At 46.6% G+C, this 22,338-nt stretch overlaps 1 long non-coding RNA gene across 1 annotated transcript, besides 4 other annotated features; it reads right to left on the reverse strand.

Moving 5' to 3' along the window:
• Positions 13,305 to 13,806: an enhancer, noted in NCBI's record as "H3K4me1 hESC enhancer chr17:76641825-76642326 (GRCh37/hg19 assembly coordinates)". NCBI's record gives its function as "activates a minimal SCP1, AML or CMV promoter by ChIP-STARR-seq in primed H9 embryonic stem cells {active_cell/tissue: H9 hESC(primed)}" and the evidence as "EXISTENCE:reporter gene assay evidence [ECO:0000049][PMID:30033119]".
• Positions 13,305 to 13,976: a biological region, named in NCBI's record as "H3K4me1 hESC enhancer GRCh37_chr17:76641825-76642326".
• Positions 13,517 to 13,976: an enhancer, noted in NCBI's record as "active region_12901". NCBI's record gives its function as "activates an Ori minimal core promoter by ATAC-STARR-seq in GM12878 lymphoblastoid cells {active_cell/tissue: GM12878}" and the evidence as "EXISTENCE:reporter gene assay evidence [ECO:0000049][PMID:35858748]".
• Positions 15,002 to 16,437, reverse strand: LOC124904066 (uncharacterized). Its single transcript, XR_007065922.1, has 2 exons — positions 16,342 to 16,437; positions 15,002 to 15,459 (listed from the first exon to the last, which is right to left on the reverse strand). It is a non-coding gene; the product is annotated as an uncharacterized LOC124904066 (long non-coding RNA).
• Positions 21,995 to 22,195: a silencer, noted in NCBI's record as "peak3019 fragment used in MPRA reporter construct". NCBI's record gives its function as "represses an SCP1 promoter by STARR-seq MPRAs in K562 erythroleukemia cells {active_cell/tissue: K562}" and the evidence as "EXISTENCE:reporter gene assay evidence [ECO:0000049][PMID:32103011]".

A 22,338-nucleotide genomic window follows, 5' to 3' on the forward strand; every position in this document is an offset into this window, starting at 1 on the left:
TAGCCAGGATGGTCTCGATCTCCTGACCTCGTGATCTGCCCTCCTGGGCCTCCGAAAGTGCTGGGATTACAGGCGTGAGCCTCCGAGCCCAGCCCCTGAGCCACCGCGCCCAGCGGTTGTGGACTTCTTATGAGAATCTAATGCCTGATGACCTGTCACCATCTCCATCACCCCCAGATGGGTCTGTCTAGTTGCAGGAAAACAAGCTCAGGGCTCCCACTGATTCTTCATGATAGCGCAGTTGTATAAGGATTTCATTATATATTACAATGTAATGATAATAAAGTACACAATCAATGTAATGTGCTTGAATCATCCTGAAACCATCCCCCACCCCTGCCCCCATCCATGGAAAAAATTTTCTTCCACAAAACTCATCCCTGGTGCCAAAAAGGTTGGGGACTGCTGGTTTGAGCCAAAAACAAAAATCAAAAAAACAAAAACAGGCTGGGCACGGTGGGCGGCTCACACCTGTAATGCCAGCACTTGGGGAGGCCAAGGCGGGCAGGTCACTTGAGCCCAGGAGTTTGAGACCACCCTGGGCAACATGGCAAAGCCCCGTCTCTACTAAAAATACAAAAATTAGCAGGGCGTGGTGGCAGGCACCTGTAATCTCAGCTACTTGGGAGGCTGAGGCACGAGAATCACTTGAACCCAGGAAACGGAGGTTGCAGTGAGCTGAGATCACGCCACTGCACTCCAGCCTGAGCGACAGAGAGAGACTGTCTCAAAAACAAAAACAAACTTCTCCCCCTCTCCCTTCCCCCCAGAGGTCGCCAGGCCAACACCATTTTACCGATTCTGACAAACCTTCCATGAATATATAATTTCCATGTTATTTAAATTACTACAGAACCCCTGAAGAGATTATTTTATCTTTTTTTTTATAGAGATGGGGTCTCACTATATTGCCCAGGCCAGTCTCAAACTCCTGGCCTCTGGCAATTCTCCCGCCTCGGCCTCCCAAAGTGCTGGGATTACAGGCAAGAGGTTATTTTTATAAAGTGAAGGTTTTCCTAGGTTATTTTATAAAAGTGAAGGCTTTGCTAGCAAAGACTGACCAAAGTAGTCAAGGAAAATGAGAGATCAATGTCTCACGGGAAATGAGAGATTCAAGAACCCAAATCAACCATCAGCAAGTGGGCAGTAACTGTCCCTATTAAAAATGATCCTTAGGAGGCTGGGTGCGGTGGCTCACACCTGTAATCCCAGCATTTTGGGAGGCCAAGGTGGGAAGATTGCTTGAGCCCAGGAATTTGAGACCAGCCTGGGCAACATGGTGAAACCCTCTCTCTAAAAAAATAAAAGTGATCCCGGCCAGGTATGGTGGCTCACACCTGTAATCCCAGCACTTTGGGAGGCTGAGGCAGGTGGATCATGAGGTCAGGAGATCGAGACCATCCTGGCTAACACAGTGAAACCCCATCTCTACTAAAAATACAAAAAAATTAGCTGGGCATGGTGGCGGTGCCTGTAATCCCAGCTACTTGGGAGGCTGAGGCAGGAGAATGGTGTGAACCCAGGAGGCAGAGCTTGCAGTGAGCCAAGATCACGCCACTGCACTCCAGCCTGGGCAACAGAGTGAGACTCCATCTCAAAAAAAAAAAAAAAATCCCATGACTCAGTAGGCTTGATTCCAGAACATAAGTTTGGTTCAAATTAAGATATTTACCCACATAAATTGTTATATGAATAAACTAAAAGTGAGAGACCATTTGAACATTTCAGTAACATTTCAATAGCTACTGAAAGGCACTTGATAACATTTAGAAAATGTTCTCACTAAAAAAAGAAATCCTTAGCAAACCAGAAAAACAATGAAACCTGCTTAATGTTATAAAATGTATGTACATATTGAAACCAAAAGCCAAAGGCACTATCATCTTGAGGGATGAAATTCCAGAGGCCTTCCTGGAAGAGGCACTGCCGTCTTGAAGTCCTGTATCCTATGCCCAAGGCCAGGGCCAGAGGGTGTAAATGCTGAAGAAGAAGGGATAAACATGTTCCTGTTGGCCAATGACATGATTAACGAGGAAATCTAGCCTACGTAACTAAAAAATTACCAAACGGATGAGTATTTACACATATGTATCAGTAGTAACCATTTAGAAAACACAAACTTTTAAACTTTCCATTTCAAATAGCTACTAAAAGTAAAAAGAATTTTCAAATAAACTCAACAAATAACAATGCTTGGAGTAGAAAACTGCAGTAATTCCCTGGAGGACAAGGTACCTGAACAAAAGGAGAGATATTTTGTGTTCCTGGGTAGGAAAAATGTAATCATACAAAACATGCCAATTCTTCCATATACAATACAGACCCAATCAGAATTACGTTGCGTTGTTTTCTGTTTATTTGTTTTAACTTAAGTTGAATTTCAAAGTACACTTGGAAGAATGCTTGAAAGAAAATTAGCCAAACATTTTTAAAAAGAAGAATGTTCAGGAAACCTTTCTCTATCAGATATAAAAACAGGCCGGGCACAGTAGCTCATGCCTATAGTCCCAGCTACTTGGGAGGCTGAGGTAGAAGCATTGCATGAACTCAAGAGTTCAAGGTTGCAATGAGCTATGATTGTGCCGCTGCACTCCAGCCTGGGAGACAGAACAAGACGCTGCCTCAAAGAAGAAAATGTACAGTAAGCTCTTGTTATTAAAACTATATGGCAGTGACCAAAGCATAGACAAATGATCAGTGGAAGAAAACTGAAGTTCAGAAAAAGACCCAGGTAGGCTGGGCGTGGTGGCGGGCACCTGTAATCCCAGCTCTTTGGGAGGCCGAGGTGGGCACATCACGAGGTCAGGAGGTCGAGACCATCCTGGCTAACATAGTGAAACCCCGTCTCCACTAAAAATACAAAAAATTAGCCGGGCGTGGTGGCGGGCGCCTGTAGTCCCAGCTACTCAGGAGGCTGAGGCAGGAGAATGGCGTGAACCCAGGAGATGGAGCTTGCAGTGAGCCGAGATCGTGCCACTGCACTCCAGCCTGGGCGACGGAGTGAGACTCTGTCTCAAAAAAAAAAAAAAAAAAAGGATCCAGGTATGTCTGAGAATTTAGCACATGACAAATATAATATTGGAAAGCATGGGGGGATTTACACAATACACAGTGTTGAAATGATTCGGAAAAAATAAAACTAAATAGCTATCTTACTTGATACAAAAAGTTAGAAATAGAATGTCTATATTACTTCCTTTGAGATGGAGTCTTGCTCTGTCACCTAGGCTGGGGTGCAGTGGCACAACCTCAGCCCACTGCAGCCTCCACCTCCCGGGTTCAAGGGATTCTCCTGCCTCAGCCTCCCGAGTAGTTGGGATTACAGTTATAGCCACCATGCCCGGATAATTTTTGTGTTTTTAGTAGAGACACGGTTTCACCACATTGGCCAGGCTGGTCTCGAATTCCTGACCTCAAGCGATCCACCCGCCTCAGCCTCCCAAAGTGCTGGGATTACAGGCGTGAGCCACCGCACCTGGCCCACAACCAAAAACTTAAAAACCTGGCTGTTTACAAAATGAAGACATTATGCCAATCAAAACCAGCCAAACATGAAAGACCAAATATTGCCGGATTCCATTTATATGAGGTATAAATTGACCACCTAGAGGAGTCAAATTCGTAGAGACAGAAAGTAGATTAGCGATTACCAGAGGCCGGGGCAGGGCGGATGGGGAGTGAGTGTTTCGTGGGTGTGGAGTTTCAGTTTGGGATAGAAGAAGTTCTGCAGGTGGATGGTGGCGGCAGCTGCACAACAACGTGAATGGACTGAATGCCCAGGATAGTGCACTTAAAATGGTAAAAGTGGCCAATTTTATGTTATGTATATTTTAACAGAATTGTTTAAACCTGGCTGCTGATTTATATTGAGATAAATTCTACTTATTTATATTAAAAACTGTCATATTTATTTTTTTGACTAAGTTTTCAGAATAAATTACATAAAATAAGTGAAATCACTGGATTCAATTACTGGCCCGGGAGACAATGGCGGGCCACACTACCCAAGGACGCCTTGAGGTTCGAGATTTGCCCTAATAAATTTCCTGTTTGGTGAAAAAGCTAAACAGGTGAGTAGGCACAGGGTGAAGAAATGCAAGTGAAGATGAGAGGGGAGGAAATATGCCAAAGTGAAGAAATATACTAAACAGTGCTTTTGGATGATAATCTAGGAACAATCTAGGAACTCCAGCTCTCATCTTGATGTAGTTTAACCAATAACTTGGTTTTGGAGCCAAGGTAATGACTCAATCATCCACGGCAGCCAGGAGCCAAGCTGTCAACCCTCATTGCAAAAAAAGCACAGAAAACCAAATATCAAGCGTGGCCTCAAAAAGAATGAGGGGGCTGGGCGTGGTGGCTCATGCCTGTAATCCCAGCACTTTGGGAGGCCGAGGCAGGTGGATCACGAGGTCAGGATTTCAAGACCAGCCTGGCCAATATGGTGAAACCCCACCTCTGCTAAAAACACAAAAATTAGCTGGCATGGTGGCGCGCACCTGTAGTCCCAGCTCCTCAGGAAGCTGAGGCAGAAGAATTGCTTGAACCCAGGAGGCAGAGACTGCAGTGATCCAAGATCGTGCCATTGCACTCCAGCTTGGTGACAGAGACTCCATCCCCCCACCAAAAAAATAAATAAATAAATAGGGAAAGAAAACTATCTTTTTCTTTTTTCTGTAAAACCGATTTTTAAATTTCCTCTACTGGGACATGTTGCCCCTTTCAAAGACAATCCCTCCTCTCCTCCAAGATTCATCTTAAAAGCCACTTCACACTCTCCCTGAACTGCTCAAATTGAAATTTTACCCCATCTCCCAAGACTTACGTAGAATGAGAACCAGTTGCGAAGCTTTCCCGGTCCACGGCCGCCAGATCTAGCCCCCTACCTTGGCGTTCCAACACCCTGATGGTGCCCCCCCGAGAAGCCTTTCCAGGGTTGTCCGGGAAGGACAGTCCGGCCCTTTCTCTGAATTAGTTGCTCCCTCGTGTAGAGTTCTGTCTTGCTAGCTCTGAACCCTTCATCAGGCCTTCCTGCAAAGAGTAGGTGTGCAACAGACAGTTATCGAATCCAGTTACATGGTGTTTGTCTGAAGCCATTTTCCATGTTGCTGTGGTCTAAATGTTGATGTCCCCACAAAGTCCCAGGCTGGAACAGAATCCCCAAGGCAATGGTATTAACAAGAGGGGCCTTTTTCCAGCGATGAGGTCATGGAGCTGAGTGCTAATGAGCGGGATGAGTACCCTTGTAAAAGAGGTGCGAGGGAGCCGTTTGTCCCTTCTGCCACCTGAGCAACATCGTGCCACCTTGGAAGCAGAGGCCAGGTCCTCACCAGACACTCAACCTGCTGGCGCCTGGATCTTGGACTTCCCAGACTCCAGAACGGTGAGAAATCCATTTCTGTTTAAATGACCCGGTGTCAGATATTTTTGTTACAGCAGCAGGGATGAACTAAGACACACACATTTTAGACAACTGCCTACATAACTAATAAGAATGGGCCAGGGGGTGGGGGGTTAGGGGAGGGATAGCGTTAGGAGAAACACCTAATGTTGATGGCCGGTTGATGGGGGCAGCAAACCACCATGGCACGTGTATAACTATGTAACAAACCTGCATGTTCTGCACATGTATCCCAGAACTTAAAGTACAAAAATAAAATAAAATAAAATAATGGGCCACGCAGGAGCCCCCATCCTCTGGACTCCCCGGGGCTCCCTATTTGGACAGAGTAAAGGAAAGTCCCTTTCTCAGTTGTGGACTCTGAATAGGGAAGTCTGTCACCCTCATGGTGTGATGGGTGAGGACTTAGGAACGTGAATCCCAGCCCCAGATTTGCTGCTAACTTGTGGGCAAGACCGTGAGCAAATCACTTACCTGTGAGATGTCCCACCTCCCTATATTGAGGGACTATGGAGGACACTTAAGCCCCTTCAACCCCCTACGTTTTATAGGAGGCTCATCATATATACGAAATGCTTTATGTCTGTCTTACACTGTGGATTTTTCACTCCGATCATCTGTAAGCAGTTGGTAACTATCCCAAGGCTACCAGGATGTAGGGAGGGGAGAGAGCTCGGAGCTGGGGAGCCTCGGTGATGCTCTGAGGTGACTCCCACCCAACAGAGTCCTTTGCCTGTTTCCCAAAGTGCAGTTAACGAGAGGGCAGCAAGGAAAGCAAGTCAGAGTCCACGTTGGTCTGAATATCGCTGATGCAGGTAGAGACAAACCCCAGGGAAAAAAGACTTAAAAGTGAAAAATGGAGCTGGACACCGTGGCTCCTACCCGCAGTCTCAGCACTTTGGGAGGCTGAGGTGGGAGGATCGTTTGAGCCCAGGAGTTTGAGACCAGCGTGAGCAACATAGTGATAATTCATCTCTACTAAAAAACAAAACAAAACAGCCAGACATGGGGGTGTCTGCTTGTAGTCCCAGCTACTTGGGAGACGGAAGTGGCAGGATGGCTTGATCCTGGGAGGTTGAGTCTACAGTGAGATGAGATTGGTCCATTGCACTCCAGCCTGGGTGACAGCAAGACCCTGTCTGGAAAAAAAAAAAAAGTGAAAAAAAAGTCCCAGACCCTTTAAAAGCTTGAAGGATCCTTCTGTGTGTGGGACTAACTGAGATGCAATAAGAGAAATGGAAAACCACCCGAGTCACTGTCGCAAGATAATTTTGTATTGAAGTAAGACACCTGACCACAGACTGACTTCACTTATATCTGCACAACTGAACCGAGCAAAAGGAAGTTCTCAAATCACCATTCAGTGCTCAACTCAGCCTGGGAAGCCAACAGCAAGCTTTCAAGGCGGGCCCTTGCTTTCTCGTTTGTGTGTGTGTGTGTATGTGTGTGTGTGTATGTGTGTGTATGTGTGTGTGTATGTGTGTGTGTGTGTGTGTATGTGTGTCTATGTGTGTGTGTGTATGTGTGTGTCTACGTGTGTGTGTATGTGTATGTGTGTCTGTATGTGTGTGTGTGTGTGTGTGTGTGTGTGTGTGTGTGTGAATCTTTTCTAACAGTGACGGCTGTGAGAGCGGGCTCTCCAACTCCTGCCGGTGACCTTGGACGTGACCTTCACCACACGGGGCTCAGGCTCCTCAACCACCAAATGAGGAAGGAGAACTAAGCTGTCCCAAAACCATTCTTTTTTCCATTTCTAAATCCTTTGGGTGTTCTAAATAGACACTAGGATCTCTCAAGTGATTCTGTAACACAGGAAACATTACCTCAGCAGGCCTGGTTTAAAACCCAACCCTCCCCTCTCTCTCATTCACCAGCTGTGAAAGTGTAAGTAATGCATTATTCTTCTTTGTCCTCGGCCTCCCCTTCTGTAAAATGGGTATAAAAGAACCCGGCTGGGCGCGGTGACTCACACCTGTAATCCCAACACTTTGAGAGGCTGAGGCAGGTGGATCACCTGAGGTCAGGAGTTCGAGACCAGTCTGGCCAACATGGTGAAACCCTGTCTCTACTAAAAATACAAAAATTAGCCAGGCATGTTGGTGGGCACCTGTAATCCCAGCTACTTAGGAGGCTGAGGCAGGAGAATCGCTTAAACCTAGGAGGCAGAGGCTGCAGCGAGCCGAGATCATGCCATTGCAAAATGCCAGGCTGATGATTTCCATGTACCTTTGATAGTCCAGAAACCAGGAATTTTGTGATGTTCTGTGTTCAATTGGAGAGTTTCAGCATAAAATCTGTAACAGTGTCGAGACTTCTCACTGTGGCCTAAGAATAAAAGTAACTTTCATTCTCTCCCAGTGTTTGGGGGCTGGGGCTGAGCTACACATTGAATTTTACTACAAGTTTACTGGAAGCCAACACAAACAGAAACGCAGAAGGGTGGTACTGGCTCTCTGAAAAAAGGAAAGTGTGTCTGTTCTGCAAGAAGGAAAAAATAGCATCTTTCCTTGGTACTAAATTTAAAACAAAATGTATTATATGAGAGATGTTAATAATATTATTACAATCTTAGGAATAATATCTATAGTCTGAGGAATGTTGAATTATTATTCATTATCCCTTATATTATTTAATTTTGATAATCATCATATTATATTATTAAATAACAACAGATTTTAAAGTGGTTGGAGTCCAAAGAGTATGGGTTCTCCTTTAATCAGCAACACAGAATGCTGACATACCTGAATTTTGCCAAAAATTAGAATATCAAGTTGCCTAATTTTCAACTTCCCTCAAAAGTTTAGGCTGGGCGCAGTGGCTCACATCTGTAATCCCAACACTTTGGGAGGCCAAGGTGAGAGAATCATTGAGTCCAGGAATTTAAGACCAGCCTGGGCAACACAGATCTCATCTCTACAAAAAGTAAACCAAAAAAAATTAGCTTGGCATGGTGGCATGCGCCTGTGGTCCCAGCTATCTGGGAGGCTGAGACAGGAGGATCACCTGAGCCAGGGAGGTCGAGGCTGCAGTGAGCCGTGATCATACCACTGCACTCCAGCCTGGGCAACAGAGCAAGACCCTGTTTCAAAAAAAAAAGAGAGAGAGAGAAAAGCTTAGATAAGAAAGGTCATACAGGCCAGGCATGGTGGCTCATGGCTATAATCCCAGCAATTTGGAAGGCCAAGGTGGGCCAATCACCTGAGGTCAGAAGTTCGAAGCCAGCCTGGCCAACATGGTGAAACCAGGTCTCTACTAAAAATATAAAAATTAGCTGGGCGTGGTGGTGTTCACCTGTAGTCCCAGCTACTCAGGAGGCTGAGGCAGGAGAATCACTGAACTCAGGAGGTGGAGGTTGCAGTGAGCCGAGATCACACCACTGCACTCCAGCCTAGGCGACAAAGTGAGACTCCGTCTCAAAAAAAAAAAAAAAAGAAAGGTCATACAATCTTGACATCCATTTCTCCAGATGTGCCAAGCTCCCTCTGGTCAACCAGCCAGAGGATGATCCTGGACCCCTCCTGCCTCTGACTGCCAATGGCTGGAGTCTCTTGGGGCCGCCCGGGTCTGGCCTGAGGCCTAAAGCCTGGACCTTTGCACTCAGCTCTGCTCCAGCAGTGACTCACCTGCAGAGAAGCCTATGGAATTCTGGGAACGATGCGGGTGGTTGTTTCAGGATGGCCCACCTGAGCCACAAAGTCACCTCCCAACACACACACACACATACACACACACACGCACACACATCCTGTGTTACCTTGATCATCAGGAACAAGGCCAACCAATCTGGCTGGGACATTTGGTCCTTGAGGAACTGCCACCACTGCCTGAACACGATGTCATCTGTGGTCAGTGGACGATTCTTCCAGGGACAAGGAAAGACGAGGAAAATCAGAACTCACCGCTTGGGTCCCTCTGCCTCAACTGCAGCCTTGTTTGAAACTGGGCTCTTCTGCAAACATGCTATGCTTGCCTGAGCGTAATGCCCACCGGAGTGGCGGGATCAGGTATGTTCATCTCCCGGGCAGGCTGCGGGGGTCATTCCGCTCAGAGCAAGTGCCCGGTCTCCATCAGAACCCTTGGAGAGCCTCTGCAGCCATGAACAAAAAGGTACCGAGACCTGCCGTGACCATCCTATGATGATAGACTATGAATTCTTATAAACCGAAGAATTACCAGTGCTGGAGAGCCCGCGAGCAGCCCGGCATTGCGTAAAGGGTCTGCAATGGCTCTTCCTAGCCCCCACTTTACACTTGGCAGGGTGGGGCTTGTGAGAGTCACAGAGGAGAGGGGCTGAGCGGGACTGGCTCTCAGAGCCACCTCCACTAATGGGGCTTTTCCAGTTCACCTCTGGAGCCCAGTGGACCCTCACTGCTCCCACTGAGGCCTCCTCTCCAGCCAGCCACACAAGCTCAGATTCACCAAAGATAAAACTCAGGGAAACTCAGCTGTCCCCCTGGCTGAGACAGCGGGTCCCCCAGTAACCATTGTCCTCCTTCCCAAATGCTAGCAGGGCACACACTGCCTGACTTGTCCCCACTCCCTTGCAGCGAGGTGTGGCTGCCACGAGACTGTGTCCTGGCCAGTGCACCAGTGCAGGTGAGCACAGGGGGTGTGAATGAAGTGTCTTTTGGGAGGAGGCACATGCTTCTCCAACCTATTCCCTTTCTTTGGGATGCAGATGTGATGGTTAGAGCCAGAGCAGTTAAAGATGGTGGAGCCAGGCCAGGCACGGTGGCTCACACCTGTAATCTCAGCACTTTAAGAGGCTGAAGCAGGGGGATCACTTGAGGCCAGGAGTTCAAGACCAGCCGGGGCGACATAGTGAGACTCCATCTCTTCTAAAATCATATATATGTTATATATTATATGTAATATGTGTTATATGTATGTTATATATGCAATATATGTTGTATATTGTATGTGATATGCATTATATATTATATGTAATATATGTAATATATGTGTGATATGTTATATATTATGTGTAATATATGCTATGTTATATGTAATATGTGCATTATGTATAATATATGTAATATATGTATGTTTTATATATAATATATATGTAATATGTTATATACGTAATATATTACATATAATATATAACATATATATGATTTTAGAAGAGATGGAGTCTTGCTATGTTGCCCAGGCTGGTCTTGAATATGTTATATATTATATATGATATATATGTTACATATTATATATGATATATATGTTATATATTATATATATTATGTGATATGTGTTATATATGTGATATGTGTTACATATGTTATATACGTGATATATATGTTATATATTATATATGATATATATGTTATATATATCCAGACATGGTGGCTGGCACATGTCTGTGGTCCCGGCTACTTGGGAGGCTGAAACAGGAGGATCGCTTTAGCCAAGAGGTTGAGGCTGCAGGAGCCGTGATCATGCACCACTACACTTCAGCCTGGGTGACAGAGAAAGACCCTGTCTCAAAAAAGAAAAAAGAAAAACCTAAAAGCAACAAAGTAAAAATAAAACAAAAACGAAAAAAAACTTTACAAAATACAGAAGTGATTTTTTTTTTTCCGAGGCTGCTGGAGGACAAAGGACAAGGTCAAGGAGCAGAAGAAGATTCCTGTCACACACAGACCAGCGAGAGGCACCCAGCCCCTAGCTCCCCGCAGCACGCCCGAGGGCGCCTGCGGGGCTCGATCCCGTCTTTCCTTCCTCCCTCTTCCGCAAGCTTTTCTGTCCCGGCTTCTTGCCAGTCTGCTGGGGTCTCACCCTCACCTTTCCTTTCTCCCGTCTTTAGCTCTCATTTCCTTTCCTTTTCCTTCTGCCCTCATTTCCCTTGCCCTGTCCACCATTTTTCCTTCATTTCTCTCCATCCATCTCTGTGAGAGTCAAGGATCCAGACATTCAGACTGGGTATCCTGGCGAGTTTAACAAAGGGGTGGTTTATAGCAGTGAGGCCAGGGTCGAAAGAGACCATGGAGGTCGGTCATGGTGGCTCACGCTTGTAATCCCAGCACTTTGGGAGGCTGAGGCGGGAGGATCACTTGAGCCCAGGAGTTTGACACCAGCCTGGGCAACATAGCAAAAACCCATCTCTGTTTTTTTTTTTTAATTAAAAAAAAAAAAAACAAACAGGCCGGGTGTGGTGGCTCATGCCTGTAATCCCAGCACTTTGGGAGGCTGAGGCGGGTGGATCACTTGAAGTCAGGAGTTCGAGACCAGCCTGGCCAACATGGTGAAACCCTGTCTCTACTAAAAATACAAAAATTAGCTGGGCATGGTGGAGTGCACCTGTGGTCCCAACTAGTCGGGAGGCTGAGGCAGGAGAATCGCCTAAACCAGGAGGCGGAGGTTGCAGTAAGCCAAGATCATCCCACTGCACTCCAGCCTGGGTGATAGAGCAAGACTGTGTCTCAAAAGAAAAAAAAAAAAAGAAAGAGACCACAGAGGGAGAGTGCAGGACAGGGCCAGAAGAGCAGGAAACCACTAGCACGGCTGGGCCTGCAGGGCAAGGGAGGGAGCATCTACCAGGACCAAGCTGTGTGGAGAGTGCTGCATGGAGCCCAGGCCTCTGGTCAGGGGTGCAGGAGACCACCTCGAGCCAACAGGGAGGGGCTGAGGAATAAGTAGCCAGCCCCTCTCTCCTCCTTTCCTTCCCCATCTCCAGCTGGGAGACCCCATGAGACACGCACAGAGCAGGGGAGAAGCTAGAGAGAGGAGCTAGCCGCAGGGCAGATGGGGGATATGTGGGGCTGTCCCCCGCGTGCGTTTTCCCGCTGTGCCTTACCTTGTAAACCCTATTTCTTCTCCTGCCGCGTGCATGAAACTGTTTTGTGACAGCTGCTCCTAACTTCTAAATAAGGGCAACTTGGCTTTCTTCTTTTCCAAAACATCAAAATTGGGTCGTTGCTTTTTAAAGTGCGGTGCCTTGGGTTGTTCTACTGGGATTAGCAGGCCTCTTTTTATGGGATGAGACACCATCACCCGTCTTCTCCCCAAGCCGCAGATGGAACGTCAGGAGTGCAGACTAGTGAAGGGGAAGAAAGGATGCCAGCCATCTATGAGTCTGCCTGTGTCTTATTCTCTAATATCAGACCATAGCTATTTATGGATCCACCAGGAGCCATTAACTTCTGCGTCTACCTAGCGGTTGGAAAGTGGCCAGCGTAGCTGAACAGTAAATGAAGCTGACGGGTCAGCAGGTGTTACAGATCAGGAGACTCGACGCCGTGCCCAAGCCCTTCCCCGCTGCATCCTTCACTCATGATTCTAGGAAGGCCAAGTCCAGGGGAGGCCCTGAGATGAGCCTGTGGGAAAGCACACACTTCCTTACTAAAAGGGACAGATGCAGATGGCACGGTCTCCATCACATCCCTTCTCCTGCCCTGAATGCAGACCCACTCCTGGGCCGCCCAGGTCATCGCACCGCCATGGTGGGCCTTCAGGAGGATGACAGCCTCTGTGGCAACGGTAGGGGCAGCTGAAACACGTGCCTCTTTGTCATAGAGAAAAACACATCTCTATCTGCCCAAACCACCACTGGTGGCCATTCAGTTATGGGCAGCCCTACGCGTTCCCGAGTGAATCATCATGGTGGGTAATACTCGTATCTCTGATGCATTTAGTGAAAACACCATTAACAAGCCATTCAACGACGTTATCGTTGCCTCGCCACAGAAGAGGCAAGGCAGGGGATATGAAAGTGTGCAGCTTGCGGAGAAGGTGAGTGGCTGGTAGGGAATGCTCTTTAATAGGCAGCGCCCCTGCAGGGAGGGGACTCAGAGTAACGATTCCATCCGCACCTGCAGAACTGAGAGCACCAGAAACTCCTCACCTGCGCGCATCATCCAGGCAGGTTAACAGCGGGGACCAAGGACCAGCTTTAAGGGAGTGATATCACTGAGCTTGTCCCCAAAGTTTAGTAAATACACAATGCATGCAAAGTCTGAAAAACTGCCGATAGCGTTTAACGAATGCACAGAGCCCCACTCCGTGAACCACTGTCATATTTTAGACAATCCAGGCGAGTCAGCCCTGGCCAGCCCTGCTCTTCTCTGCAGTGTTTATCAGGGAGTGTATCAATGTCGGGAAAACTTCCTAAGGAAGTTCACCCCCAGAAGAACAGCTTAGGTCATGATTATCCTGCTGAGGTCAGCAGCACATGGTTGTCCGACTCCTGGGAGAAAAGAGGATGTGAAACCCTCGGAAGGGTGAAGGGTGCGGCAGGCGGGACTCATCCGGGGAGGTGTGGCCAGGAGGATGTTCTGACGGGAAACGGCGTCATCGGAAAGCCCCTCCCCAGCTGCTCCTCAGTTGCAGGGAGGAAAAAGAAACAGCGATTCTGCAGTGGAGAAGTTGGGCACACCTTCATTGGTGGTGGACAGTGATGTCCCTAGCGAAGGGTGGTGGGACCTGGAGGGCCCTAGAGGGGACGCTCAGAGTTGGGCCAGCACCCCCAGCATGGGGTCCCGGCCAAAGAGTCAAAACCTCTGTCTACTCGTGGGGAAACACAGGACAAACCCCAAATGAAGGGCCATCCATTATCAAAGGAGGGGAGTATTCTTTAAAAAGAAAGGCTGTCGGGGCCGGGCACGGTGGCTCACGCCTGTAATCCCAGCACTTTGGGAGGCTGAGGTGGGCGGATCACCTGATGTCAGGAGTTCGAGACCAACCTGACCAACATGGTGAAACCCTGTCTCTACTAAAAATACAAAAATTAGCTGGGCATGGTGGCACACGACTGAATCCCAGCTACTTGGGAGGCTGAGACAGGAGAATCGCTTGAACCCTGGAGGTGGAGGTTGCAGTGAGCCAAGATCACACCACTACACTCCAGCCTGGGCAACAGAGTGAGACTCTGTCTCCAAAAAAAAAAAAAGAAAAGAAAAGAAAAGAAAGGCTGTGGGATGTTGGGATGTTCCCGACTGAAGAAGGCTAAAGAGAGAGAACAGGGTCCTGCCCAACCCTGGGCTGGACCCCAGGCTCGGAGGAAGGCTATGAATGACTTCATTGTGTCAACCCACAAGATTTGAATTCAAACAGCAGATCTGGCCAGGCACGGTGGCTCAAGCCTATAATTCCAGCACTTTGGGAGGCCAAGGTAGGTGGATCGACCTGAGGTCAGGAGTTAGAGACCAGCCTGGCCGACATGACGAAACCCCATCTCTACTAAAATTACAAAAAAAATTAGCCAGGCCTGGTGGCTGGTGCCCATAATCCCAGACACTCAGGAGGCTGAGGCAGGAGAACTGCTGGAACCCAGGAGGCGGAGGTTGCAGTGAGCTGAAACTGTACCACTTCACTCCAGCCTAGGCGACAGAGTGGGACTCTGTCTAAAAAAAAAACAAAAACCGATCAGACGGAAGTATTGTGTCCATGTTCAATCTGCTGACATTGATGACTGTACAGTGGTTACATAAGGGAATATCCCTTTTCTTAGGAAATATGCCCAAAACTGTTAGGGCCAAAGGTCTGAGGTACGTAAGCAACTTTTCAAATGCTTCAGAGCAAGAGAGGACGCACACACAAACGATAAAGCGAATGGGGCAAAATGTTAACAAGCAAATCCAGACATAGAAGTGTTCTTTACACTATACATATATTTCTTCCAACTTTATTTTAAATGCCTTGAAAGGCAAGACCTTTATCTATGTGTGTGAACATGCATGGATGTGTGTTGGGGAAGGGGAGGGAGGAAAACAAAGACCATAGAGAGGAGAGAGAGGCAGGGTGGGTGCAGAGGTGGGAGGAGGAGAGGGCTGAGAAGCAGTGATCAAACGGGAAGAACAAGGCCCCGAGAGCTGACTTTGCCAGCACCTGCTGGGGGCAGTTTCATCCTTATTACCGCAGTGCTTTCCCCCTTCTGCCTTAAAGCTTTTACGTCTGGGTTTTCCAAGCCACCTCGATGGTGAAGGAGGCTCCGGAGGGCAGGGAGGGGGTCATTGCAGTTTCTCTTTCTGATGTAGAACAAGCCGTGGGCAGAGAGCCCAGGAGCTACATGGTGGGCACACAGATAATCAGGTAATGCCACCAAATGCGAGAGTCCACCAGGGATTCTGAAAAGTACAAAGAAAGGGTAAATTGCTGCTTTTTCAGAAATACACCCTACCCGCTCACTCTGCCCAGGGAAATGTAACATCAAGATGCAGAGGGATGGGCCAGAGGAGGGACAATTCCAGGGAGAGCCCCTGTCCCTATTCCCAGTGCCTGTCAACTGCCCACACTTTGTTCCCAACTGGCCCTTGCTGCTGTCACCGTGGAGCTGTGGAGTCAGAAGGAAGCCGGGCAAGGATGCAGACTGACATTAAGTTTTTTGTGACTGAGCTCTGAAGAGCATCTTAGCATCTGACCATTCCAGTGTGGAGCAGGGTTGACATGATAAGGAGTAAGAGAAAGATGGCCCGGACTGCAGCAAGGCCGAGGCTGAACACAGAATCACAGAGGCTCCAAGGCTGAGGTCAGTTCAGTTGGAAGGCAGATGCCCAGGGGCAGCCCCAGAAGATGCAAGAACACAGGCCTGCCAGGGCCACTGAGAGAAAGGTTTCTGGCCCAAAGACCTGCTTCCTGCCCACACCAGCTGTGGCAGCTGCTCTTCCAAGCGCTCTTTCTGCACAAGCCCCTCGAACAGCAAACAGCATCACTCGGAACCCTGTCCAAGAAATGCGGATTCATCATAATTGGTCAACCACAGCCACACTCTGGCAAGGGGCTCCAACCGATTTTCAAAGTGTTTTTCCCTAAATGGTTACTTGGATCAGATAACAGCTAGCTGGGAAGAAAACCCCCAGTCCCCATATATGCTCCCAGACATAGCTTAGAAATGTGACCTCCATCTCTTATTTTTATTTTCTTATTTGTGTATTCGTCTGTTCTCACACTGCATGAAGAAATATCCAAGACTGGACAATTTATAAATAAAAGAGGTTTAATTGACTCACAGTTCCGCAGGGCTGTGGAGGCCTCAGGAAGCTTGCAATCCTGGCTGAAGGGAAGCAAACATGTCCTTCTTCACATGGTGGCAGGAAGGAGAAGTGCTGAGCAAAAGGGGAAAAACACCTTATAAAACCATCAGATCGGCAGGGTGCAGTGGCTTACACCCGTAATCCCAGAACTTTAGGAGGCCGAGGCAGGCGGATCACGAGGTCAGGAGGTCGAGACCATCCTGGCTAACATGGTGAAATCCCATCTCTACTAAAAATACAAAAAAATTAGCCGGGCATGGTGGCACGTGCCTGTAATCCCAGCTACTCGGGAGGCTGGGGCAGGAGAATCGCTTGAACCCGGGAGGTGGAGGTTGCAGTGAGCTGAGATTGCACCATTGCACTCCAGCCTGGGTAACAGAACGAGACTCTGTCTCAAAAAAAAAGAACAAAAACAAACAAACAAAAAACCCATCAGATCTCATGAAAACTCACTATCACGAGAACAGCATGGGTGTAACGGCCCCCATGGTTCAATTACCTCCCACTGGGTCCCTCCCAGGACACGTGGGGATTATGGGAACTGTAATACAAGATGAGATTTGGGTGGGGACACAGCCAAACCATATCAATTTGTACATTGTCCTTCTCTCCCGTTCTAGTCTATACGCTCCATGAGGGGAGGGATTTTATTTTATTCACGGCTTTGCTGCCATTCTTAGAACAATGCCTGATACCTAGAAGGCACTTAATAAATATTTGTGGAAGAAAGGAAGAAATGACTTAACTTGGGAAATTAGGTTAATCATGATGTCATTGACAGACGAGGAGAAATTATTTTCAGGGAGATAGTGGAATTCCTTCTGGTCGTCAAGTCTTAAATGACAGAAGAATTTCTTAAATTCTCTTTACACACAGTGTGAAAAAACAACTATTGGTTGACGGAGAAGAAAGAGAGCTCTGGGAGGGACCCAACATCAGCAGGACTCTTTTTTTTTTTTTTCCTTCTCAGATCTGGCTTTGCAAAAAGTCACCAAAGTTAAAATGCACTAGTTCTTCAATCAAGTTTCCCTATATTTTACTACATGTTTATCTTCTTTTCTTGTTCCAGACAGGCAAGAACACCTTCACAGACTGCAAAGACATAAGATTTCTTTCAAGAGACATTTATGCAGGTGATAAACATAATTAAGCTGGTCATATATTTAGTTTGAGATTTTACTTCTCAGTTTGAGGTAGCAAGGGGCCCCCCTGGACTCACACGCCTTAGACCCCGTCTTCATTCTCAAGGTTTCTCCTGGAGGAAATGGGTTCCAGGAGGGGAGCTCCAGTGAGGGCGCCCCAGAGTCCAAGGCAGTTCAGATGCGCAGGCCCTGCCTTGGGGTCCTCCTCAATGCATTGCAGCCAATGACGGGAAAAAGGACTCTGCCCTGAGCCCTTCTGTGCAGGGAGGAGGCTCTCTGGGCTGCTGGTCAGCTGGAAACGGGAGGTCTTGCAGTAGAGTTTTCCCCCTGAGCATGGGGAGGAGTCCTGGTATTTGGGGGGAAAACAGGACTTCCAAATTAGAGCTCCCTAAATATTTCCCCACAAATGATCCTTTGGGAAATCACCTGACACTTCAGAGGAGCTTGTCCCTCTGATGCCACTTCTCTATTTACCGGAGACAAACATTCCTGCTTTCAAGGCTATTGACAGTGGCCACGTCGGATCTGTCCCGGAGTTCTGCTTCCAAGGCTGATGGTGTGTGTTAAGGTCGTGGGGTGGATGCAGCAGTCAACTGTGCATTCATTCAACAAACACCCAGCCTGATGCGTGCCAGGCACTGGGAGTGCCCTGGAGGTAAGAAGCACCTCTCATTAATTTATTCTTGTTCTTCCAAGGAAGCACTGGAAGCACAGGGGGCTCGAGCCCATGCTCCCTGACTATGCTTTTTAAACAGGACAAAATATGTTTAATGCTTATCAGAAAGAATAAATGTCTTAGAATAGCTAAGAACATTTAGAAATTGAGGAATAGCAAGGGAGGTTTCATTCACCAGCTATTAATAGCTCCTTTAGAAGCTACTGAAATGAAAAGAGTATTCTTGGCACAAGAAAAGAAGTAATTTCAAAAATGTATGGGAATTTAATACATGATAAAAGTGGTATCTCAACTGAATGAAAAAAGGAAGATTTAGTTAATGAATTGTGTTGGCATTATCAATTACCTTCCTGGAGCAAAATAAACTTAAATCCCTTCCATCTAAAAATAAACTTTAGATAAGTTAGAAATCTAAAGGTTAAAAAAATTAAAAATTAGAGGAAAATTCAGGGAATTATTAATATTGGAATAAAGACAATCTCCTTAAATAAGACACAAAACTAGGCCAGGCATGGTGGCTCATGTCTGTAATCCAAGCACTTTGGGAGGCTGAGGCAGACAGATCACCTGAGGTCAGGAGTTCAACACCAGCATGGCCAACATGGCAAAACTCCATCTCTACTAAAAATACAAAAATTAACTGGACTTGGTGGCAGGCACCTGTAATCCCAGCTACTTGGGAGGCTGAGGCAGGAGAATCTCTTAAACTCGGGAGGTGGAGGTTGCAGGGGGCCGAGATCACACCATTGTACTCCAGCCTGGGTGACAGAGGGAGACTTCATCTCAAAATCAAACAACAAAGAACACACAAAAACTACACAGGAAAAATGAACATATTTGATCCTATGAAATTAAAACTTTGGAAAACATAACAAATGTAATCAAAAGACAAATATTATACTTAGAAAAATATCTGTAGTACACATGTAAGCATAGGTTTCATATTACTTAACATAAGCACCTAAACATCGATTTTTAAAAAAGGACAAACCAATAGAAAAATAGTCAAAGGGCATGAATTGGCAATTCACAGAAAAAAAAATTTAAGTCAACATAAAAGAATATGCACCATCTCCAGGAGTCAGGCAGATACACATCCAAACTGCATGAGATATCATTTTCACTCTGTGGACAGAAAATATTTTACAAATATTTTCCCCCACACTGTGGTTTATGTCTGAGTCATTAATTTTTTTCTTTTATGAAATTTTTGTCTGTTCTCTAAGAAATATTTGCTTACTCCAAAGGTTATAAAGATATTCTTCTATGTTTTCTCTTAGAAGTTTCATAGTTTAAGGTTTGGAGCTAGGTCTATAATCCATCTCAAAATAATTTTTCTGCACATAATGTAGTAGTAGTTGAGGTTCAATTATTTTCATTTGTTGGCCGGGTGCGGTGGCTCACACCTGGAATCCTAACACTGTAGGAGGCTGAGGCAGGCAGATGACTTGAGCCCAGGAGTTCAAGACCATCCTGGGCAACATGGTGAAGCTCTGTCTCTACAAAATATAAAATTAGCTGGGTGTGATGATGTGTGCCTGTGGTCCCAGCTACTCAGGAAGCTGAGGTGGGAAGATTGATCACCTGAACTCATGGAGGTCAAGGCTGCAGTGAGCCATGATTGCGCCACTATACTCCAGCCTGGGTGACAGAGTGAGACCCTGTCTCAAAATAAATAAATAAACAAACAAATTAAATATTCCCATGTGTTTATTCCATTTTTCCAGTACTAGTTGTTGAAAAGTCTTTCCTTTCCCCATTGTATTGCCTTGGTGACTTTGTTAAACAACTGGTCATATATTCATATAATCTGCATGAAAGTCCTTGTCTGCCAGTCTTTACATCGGGTCATCTTGGGCTCTGTTTTTACTTGCTATTTTTTCTTGATTATGAGTTGCATTTTTGTGTTTCTGCACATCTAGTTATTTTGTATTATATATTGGAAAGTATGGATAATATAGTGTAGCCAATCTGAATTAGATTGTCCTCCTTTACAGAGTTGTGAGAGTTGTCTGGCAGGTAGTTTGATGACTGGAAGGCTCTTTGGTCCCATCTGGTTTGCTTTATTCTTGGCTAGGGCAGGGCTATTTTGGTCTTGAACATAGTCCTAGGAAATAGTTCCTCTAAGACTGGACCTTTCTGGGGTCACACCTGAATGCGAGGTCTCTTCATCCTGGCTGGGCTGAAGCACCTCTTCTTCCCCAGTACATCAAGACCTCCAGTATCACGTTTGGCCCTCAGCCCTGGAACAGGCAATCTCTGCTGGGCCTCATGGAGTCTTGCCCTACCCCATACAGCTCAGCTCTTGAACAAAGACCTGTGATGAGTGTTGCTGTGGACTTCTAGAGCTACCCGTTTTTCTCTGGGATTCTCATTTGTAAACTTCAGCCACTTTGACAGCCCAGCACTCTGGCCTCTTCCATCTTAGCTCAGCGATTGCACCACTCCGCTCGGTCTCTTCCTCCTCAACTGTGACACAAAAGTGGCTGCAAGTCAGAGGCAGTCACGGGAGCTTCAGCTCATGTGATTCTCTGCTCTCAAAAATCACAGTCCCGTGCTGTCTGTTGTCCAATACCTGAAAACATTTACCTCTTATATTTGTCCAGTTTATTTGTCTGTTTGAGACAGTCTCGCTCTGTCACCCAGGCTGGCGTACAGTGGCGCGATCTCAATCACTGCAACCTCCGCCTCCCAGATTCAAGTGATTCTCATGCCTCAGCCTCCCGAGTAGCTGGGATTACAGGCATGCACCACCATGTCCAGCTAATTTTTGTATTTTTTAGTAGAGACAGGGTTTCACCATGGTGACCAGGCTGGTCTTGAACTCCTGAGCTCAAGTGATCCCCCACCTCGGCCTCCCAAATTGCTGGGATTACAGGCGTGAGCCACGGTGTCTGGGCTATTTGTCCAGTTTAATTTGGCAGAAAGTCAAGCTCATTGACTCACTGTCTTGAGGCTGGAAGTAGAAGAGCTCAGGCTTCTATGCAGCTTTCAGCACAAGCTGCCTTGGAGTTAAGCTGGGTTAGGACAACCTGTTGCCACTGGATTGACTCCATCAACAGCTAGCCTTGGGATACGCGCCTTTCAGTCACACTATGGCCACCACCCAGCCTGTCATCCTGCATTAGGGGGACATTCAGACAAGGCAGGACCCCACACATTAGGGATGTCCCTAGCTCACTTGGACTCCACCTGCACATATTATTCCACGCTCTTTCAAAACCACCGTCTCTCCATCCTCGATCAAGAAAGGATTTGCAGGTGAATTAGACTGTTGTATTCATACAGATTTCAGGATAATTAACCTTAAGGATAATTTTATTTGTGCAGTGAATGATCATGTGAAGGGGACCATAAACACTTGATTTAAAAAACACACATATACCGGCAACCGAAATAGACTAAAACATCTAGGCTGATTTGAAATTGGCCCTGAAGACACTGCTTTTATAAGTCTTGTTTCCTCTAGCTTCACGTGTGTGCCCTGAGGCTGGGGGCACATGCCGTCCCTCCCTGTATACCCAGCATCCCGCACACTACCCTGAAACCTCATGGGTGCATGAGTATTTGTTGAATTGGACCAAATGGATTCACTTGTCTCTTCTGTTATATTTGAGTCCTCTTCAAGGCTAGCTACAAATTTACGTGAACTTTACTGCGTTTCATTCTCTAGTAAAGGCACAAGTCTTGGGAAGACACACACACATACACACACACATACTACACACACAAACCCACATACATACACATACACACACAGATACACACCTACACACGTACACACAGATACACATACACACACATACACACACACGGTTGTTCTTCACCCCATTCTGAGAGCACTTCCTCACTCAATCTTGGAGTCATGTGTTCATTGGCAAAGTTGACAGAGATAACTTCTTAGACATTTGCAATATTTTGACAGGACAATTATGCAATGTCCTCATCTTCATGAACCTGAACCAACTTTCAAGCATCCAAGACTTACTTAGTCAGCATTCCCACCAAAGTAGCCAATAGCAGGAGCCTAAAACAATGAACTCTTTATGACCAAAATGCTGTGTCAGATGCAACTTCAGTAACTAAATTAACTAATGAGGGTCTCCTGGGGGGAAATGGGATAACCCTGCATTCTTGTTTTACCCCTCCCTGTCT

The sequence above is a fragment of the Homo sapiens genome, chromosome 17 (assembly GCF_000001405.40).
Source record: "Homo sapiens chromosome 17, GRCh38.p14 Primary Assembly".
In the NCBI taxonomy this organism is placed as follows: Eukaryota; Metazoa; Chordata; class Mammalia; order Primates; family Hominidae; genus Homo; species Homo sapiens.